Raw genomic sequence first — 6,894 nt, 5'->3', positions numbered from 1 at the left:
TTGGTCAATTAGAGCTCAATGTTCTGGCCACATTGGGACATGTCTAATACGGCTGTCCCAAAGTGGAGTGGTTTGGGGAAGGGACTGGCAGTACACAGGAGGTGATGTTGAGCTACCTCAGGATATCATGGCCCCTCATGGTGGGAAGGGGACCTTGCAACTAAGACTCTTATTCTGTGTGTTTGTTCAAGGAATACCTTACCCATATCACTAGCCCTAATTTGCAGATGAGGAAATTGAAGCTCACAGAGGTCAGGAGGGTTGCCTAGTTATAGAGTGAGTCACTGGCCAAGTCTAGAGTAGAGCACACATCTCCTGCAGCCAGGACATCAGCCATAGGCCTGTGGTCTGGTCCATGGTGGACCTGGCAGTTCCAACCTCAACTGCCTTGCCAATGTGCTCATGTAACCACCAGGTGGAGCGAGATCGCCATTCATTGGGAAGCAGGGCACAGGCTTCGGGTTGGACTGAATGTTCCTTTGAGAGGGCCCACGGGCACACACAGTGGAGCTGGGGAGTCCTGTTAAAGAAAGATTGTGTGTGTGTTGAGGGGCGGGGGTGTTGTAACAGAGCTGGAGTTCAGGAGCGTTGGCGACTGGGATGAAGAGGGGAGGAGGGAAGGGCATTTTGCTGCCTTCCTCTGGCCCTGCCTAGTCTGGCCCTACTGGGGAAAGGGCAGAGATGGGGAAAGGGAGGGATCTCCAGAGGGGATGGCTTCTGCCTCCACCTCCGCTCTCTTCAGGCTCAGTCAGGGCCTGGAACAGACCGGACATTCCTCAATCTCCAGCTGGAAACCAGGAAATCAGACCTGGAGGCTACCTCCCTGCAGCCTGGGCCAGTTCTTCCAAAGCCCTCACTGCCCCCTAGGGCCCTGCTGTCTCAGAGGAGCCACACTCCAGGCTCCTAAAGGCTGAGTCTCTCCTAGAACTTCTGTGTTCTTCCCTCCTTCCCTCCTGGCTCCTCTTTCCTGAGCTGTGGGATCAGACCCTTCCTGTGAGCACCACATTTGCATAAGAAATTGCTGTCCTGGCTCACACCTGTAATCCCAACACTTTGGGAGGCTGAGGCAGGAGGATCACTTGAGTCCAGGAGTTCAAGACCAGTGTGAGTAATATAGCGAGACCCTGTCTCTACAGGAAAAAATTAAAAATAATTAACCAGGCATGGTGGTGTGTGCCTGTATTCCCAGCTACTCAGGAGGCTGAGACAGGAGGATCCCTTGAGCCCAGAAGGTTGAGGCTGCAGTGAGCCATGATGGTGCCACTGCACTCCAACTTGGGTGACAGAGTGAGACCCTGTCTCAAAGAGAAAAAAAAAAGAAGAGGCCTGGTGCGGTGGCTCATGCCTGTAATTAATCCTAGCACTTTGGGAGGCTGAGGCGGGAGGATTACTTGAGGCCAGGAGTTCAAGACCAGTCTGGGCAAGATGGCGAAACCCTGTCTCTACCAAAAATACAAAAATTAGCCAGGCATCGTGGCATGTGCCTGTAGTCCCAGCTACTTGGGAGGCTGGGGTGGGGGGATGGTTTGAGCCGGGGAGATGGTGGTTGCAGTAAGCCAAGATCTCATCACTGCACTCCAGCCTGGGAAACAGAGCAAGACTCCATCCTCCCCACCCCCCAAAAAAAGAAGAAAGAAAAAAAAAAGGAAATCGCTATCCACAGAGTGCCAAGTCAAGTCAAACTCATGGCCTGTCCCCATCTCTCACCAGGATTGGTGCTCCTGTCTGGACTTCTCACTACCACTCTTCCCCTTTCCTCAGTCCCTTCTCCAGGTGGTAGTCCTGATCATCTTTTCTCAAATTGTTAATCTGACTATGTTGCCCATCTGCTGAAACCTTTCAGGCACTTTCCCAGCACTCTTGTAATAAACTCTTACTTAGCATGGCGCATGGGTCCTTCGTGGTCTGGTCCTTCCCACCTCTCTGACACCATGCTCCCTCTCAATCTCTAGGTTCCGGCTACACTGCCCATGCTCATCATGGGGACTTCACGTGTGCTGTTTCCTCTGCCTGGAATCTCACACCTCTTTAAAAAAATTTTTTTTGAGACAGAGTCTCGCTCTGTCACGCAGGCTGGAGTGCAATGGCATGATCTTGGCTCACTGCAACCTCTGCTTTCGGGTTCCAGTGATTTTCATGCTTCAGCCTCCCGAGTAGCTGGGATTACAGATGTGAGCCACCACACCCAGCTAATTTTTGTATTGTTAGTAGAGACGGGTTTTTCTTTTTTCTTTTTTTTTTTTTTTTGAGACGGAGTCTCATTCTGTCACCCAGGCTGGAGTGCAATGGCGTGATCTCGGCTCACTGCAAGCTCCGCATCCCAGGTTCACGCCATTCTCCTGCCTCAGCCTCCCGAGTAGCTGGGACTACAGGTGCCCGCTACCACGCCCGGCTAATTTTTTTGTATTTTTAGTAGAGACAGGGTTTCACCGTGTTAGCCAGGATGGTCTCAATCTCCTGATCTCGTGATCCGCCCGCCTGGGCCTCCCAAAGTGCTGGGATTAGAGGCATGAGCCACCGCGCCCAGCCTAATTTTGTATTTTTAGTAGAGACGGGGTTTCACTGTGTTAGCTAGGGTGGTCTCGATCTCCTGACCTCGTGTTCTGCCTGCCTCGGCCTCCCAAAGTGCTGGGATTACAGGCTTGAGCCACTGTGTCCAGCTTATTCACTGTCTTTTAAAATTTTAGTTTGGTTTGGGTTTTTTTGTTGTTTGAGACAGGGTCTCACTCTGTTGCCCAGGCTGGAGTGCAGTGGCACAATCACGGCTCACTGCAGCCTCAACCTCCTGGGCTCAAGTAATCCTCCCACTCAGCCTCTTGAGTATGTGGGACTACAGGTGTGCACCACCACATCTGACTATTTTTTTGGTATTTTTTATAGAGACAGGGTTTCGCCATGTTGCTCAGGCTGGTCTCAGGCTCCTGGACTCAAGAGATCCCTGCTCTTCGGCCTCCCAAAGTGCCGGGATTGTAGGAGTGAGCCACTGTTTGTCATAATTGTAATTGTAATTGTACATTTGTTTGTAATATTATTTAATTAATTACTAATAAAGTTCCATGAGGTAAGAACCATGTCAATTTTTGCTCATCTAAAAATCTCCAGCACCTCTGAGCCTGGTACATAATAGATGCTCAATAGATATTTGTTGTTTGTTGTTTTTGTTTTTTGTTTTTTGTTTTTTTTGAGACAAGGTCTCACTCGGTCACCCAGGAAGGAGTGCAGTGGCGTGATCTCAGCTCACTGCAACCTCAGCCTCCTGGGCTCAAGCGATCCTCCCATCTCAGCCTCCCGAGTAGCAGGGACTACAGGCATGCACCACCACACTGGACCAATTTTTGCATATATGTATACATATATATATATGTATATTCTTTTTTGAGACAGAGTCTCGGTCTGTTGCCCAGGCTGGAGTGCAGTGGCATGGTCTCGGCTCACTGCACTCCACCTCCGGGTTCACACCATTCTCTTTCCTCAGCCTCCGGAGTAACTGGGACTACAGGCACCCACCACCACACCCGGCTAATTTTTGTATTTTTAGTAGAGACGGGGTTTCACCGTGTTAGCCAGGATGGTCTCGATCTCCTGACCTTGTGATCCACCCACCTCGGCCTCCCAGCGTGCTGGGATTACAGGCGTGAGCCACCGTGCCCGGCTTATTATTTATTTATTTTTTTTTGAGAGGGAGCCTTGCTCTGTCTCCCAGGCTGGACTGCAGTGGCACAATCTCGGCTCACTGCAAGCTCCGCCTCCCGGGTTCATGCCATTCTCCTGCCTCAGCCTCCCAAGTACCTGGCACTACAGGCGCCCGCCACCACGCCTGGCTAATTTTTTGTATTTTTAGTAGAGACGGGGTTTCACCATGTTACCCAGGATGGTCTCTATCTCCTGACTTCGTGATCTGCCCACCTCGGCCTCCCAAAGTGCTGGGATTACAGGCGTGAGCCACCATGCCCAGCCCTGCATGTATATATTTTTTATTGAGGCAGGCTTCCACCTGGTTGCCCAGGCTGGTCTCAAACTCCTGAGCTCAGGCAGTCCACTCATCTCAGCCTCCCAAAGTGCTAGAATTACAGGTGTGAGCTACTGTGACCAGCAAGATGCTCAATACATGTTCTTTGAATGAATAAGTACATTTATGTTACACACTCCTCTCCATCTCTATCTCCCGAGCATGAGCCTCTATCATCTCTTATCTGCACCTCAGCAATCACTTCTTGGTTTGTCTTCCAGTTTATAATCAAGTTTCTGTCGATCAGTTTTCCACCAAAAAGCCAGAGTGGTCTAATAAAATAGCCTATTTGGCAGGCGCGGTGGCTCACGCCTGTAATCCCAGCACTTTGGGAGACCAAGGCAGGTGGATCCCCTGAGGTCAGGAGTTTGAGACCAGCCTGACCAATATGGTGAAACCCCATCTCTACTAAAAATACAAAAATTAGGCCAGGCACAGTGGCTTACGCCTGTAATCCCAGCACTTTTGGAGGCCGAGGCGGGCGGATCACGAGGTCAGGAGATCGAGACCATCCTATCCCGGCTAATACGGTGAAACCCTGTCTCTACTAAAAATACAAAAAAATTAGCCAGTCATGGTGGCTGGCGCCTGTAGTCCCAGCTACTTGGGAGGCTGAGGCAGGAGAATGCCGTGAACCCGAGAGGTGGAGCTTGCAGTGAGCCGAGATCGCGCCACTGCACTCCAGCCTGGGTGACAGAGCGAGACTCCATCTCAAAAAAAAAAAAAAAAAAAAAAAAAATACAAAAATTAGCCGGAGGTGGTGGTGTGTGACTGTAAGTCCCAGCTACTCGGGAGGCTGAGGCAGGAGAATTGCTGGAACCCCGGAGGCAGAGGTTATAGTGAGCAGAGATCACATCACTGCACTCCAGCCTGGGCCACAGAGCAAAACTCCGTCTCAAAAAACCAAAACAAAACAAAACAAAAAACTGCCTATCTGATCATGCCACCCTTCCACCCCCTGTTGAATAGCCTTCAGTGGCTTCCCATGGCCCTTGGAATAAAATCCAAGCTCTTGACCACAGCCTTACAAGGCCTTGCATGGTCTAGCTCACCTCATGCCAAGCTCCACCTCCTCAACTGACATTTCTTAATTCAACAAATATTGAGTGCCTGTTCCACCAGGCTCTGGGGTGAGCAAAAACAGACTCCTTCAGCTCTGCTTAGTCCTCTAGATACTTGAACATACCTCCTTCCCATCCACAGCCTGTGCATGTGGTTTCCCTTGTTCTGGAATCCAGTCCTTTCCCTCTCCTTCTTTCTCTACCTTCCTGACTTTGCCCAGTCAACACCTACTCACCCATCAGATCTGATTACACACCATTCATTCAGGGATATCTTATCCGACCTGAAGCTAGTTTAGGTCCCCCTGTATACGCTCTTAACTGCTCCCTATGTTTGACTTCACAGCACTCACCACATTTTCTTTTTTAACATTTGTTCCTGTGGTGATATGGTGATTTGGTTTATACCCATCTTCCTTGCCAGGAAGCGCCAGGAGCTTCTACGTCTGGTTTTTGCTTACCATCGTTTCCCTCCGGTGCTCAGCTGGTGCTCCACAGGCAATTTACTGATTGACTAAATGAATGAGTAAACAATTCCCCCATAAGAGTATTCAGAGTTCTGCCCTTCAGGGAAATGTTGGCACCTCTGCCTCACTGTACATAGGAGCTGGTGGGTGATGGCTGAGGAGGGGAGGCCGGGAGGGGCATACATATAGGAGCTCTCACCAAGCAGAGAGCTGAATGAGTGTGCTAGTCCCTTCCTGCCCCTTACTGTCCCTAGAGCGCTGTGACTTAGCCCTGCCCACCTCTCCAACCCCATCTAGCACCTCTCCCCTTTGATGCTCCAGCAAGAGGAGCTCCTGCTCCTTTGTCCCTGGAATTCCCAGCCTCCTGCATACTGACCCCTCCATCTGCAACTTGCCTCCTCCTTCCTTTCACAAGGCTGGCTCCTCCCTATCCTTCTTCAGGTCCAGTTTAAATGCTGCTTTTTTTTTTTTTTTTTTTGAGATGGAGTCTCGCACTGTTACCTGGGCTGGAGTGCAGTAACAAGATCTCGGCTCACTGCAACCTCCGCCTCCCAGGTTCAAGCGATTCTCCTGCCTCAGCCTATCGAGTAGCTGGGACTACAAGCGCGCACCACCACACCCGGCTAATTTTTTGTATTTTTAGTAGAGATGAGGTTTCACCATGTTGGCCAGGTTGGTCTTGAACTCTTGACCTCGTGATCCGCCTGCTTCAGCCTCCCAAAGTGCTGGGATTACAGGCATGAGCCAGCATGCCCGGCCTAAATGCTGCTGCTTTTTTTTTTTTTTTTTGAGACAGAGTCTCCCTCTGTCACCCAGGCTGGAGTGCAGTGGCGCGATCTCGGCTCACTGCAACCTCCGCCTCTCAGGTTCATGCCATTCTCCTGCCTCAGCCTCCCGAGTAGCTGGGACTACAGGTGCCCGCCACCACGCCCGGAGAATTTTTTGTATTTTTAGTAGAGACGGGGTTTCACTGTGTTAGCCAGGATGGTCTCGATCTCCTGACCTCGTGATCTGCCCACCTTGGCCTCCCAAAGTGCTGGGATTACAGGCGTGAGCCACCACGCCTGTCCTGTTTTTGTTTTTTGAGATAGGGTCTCACTCTGTTGCCCAGGCTGGAGTGCAGTGACACAATCAGGGCTCACTGCAGCCTTGACTTCCCAGGCTCAGATGATTCTCCCACTTCAGCCTCCTGAGTAGGTGGGATTACAGGCATGTGCCACCACGCCTGGCTAATTTTTGAATTTTTGTTAGAGATGGGGTTTCACCATGTTGCCTAGGCTGGTCTTAGAACTCTTGGGCTGAAGCAATCTACTGGCCTTGGCCTCCCAAAGTGTTGGCATTACAGGCATGAGTGCAG

The 6,894-nt window shown here is 50.8% G+C and overlaps 1 annotated feature.

Moving 5' to 3' along the window:
• Positions 203-901: an enhancer, noted in NCBI's record as "H3K27ac-H3K4me1 hESC enhancer chr1:36653458-36654156 (GRCh37/hg19 assembly coordinates)". NCBI's record gives its function as "activates a minimal SCP1, AML or CMV promoter by ChIP-STARR-seq in naive H9 embryonic stem cells {active_cell/tissue: H9 hESC(naive)}" and the evidence as "EXISTENCE:reporter gene assay evidence [ECO:0000049][PMID:30033119]".

Source organism: Homo sapiens, chromosome 1, assembly GCF_000001405.40.
Source record: "Homo sapiens chromosome 1, GRCh38.p14 Primary Assembly".
NCBI lineage: Eukaryota > Metazoa > Chordata > Mammalia > Primates > Hominidae > Homo > Homo sapiens.
Note: the sequence above shows the minus strand (reverse complement) of the source record. Positions and strands in the feature narration are given on the sequence as shown.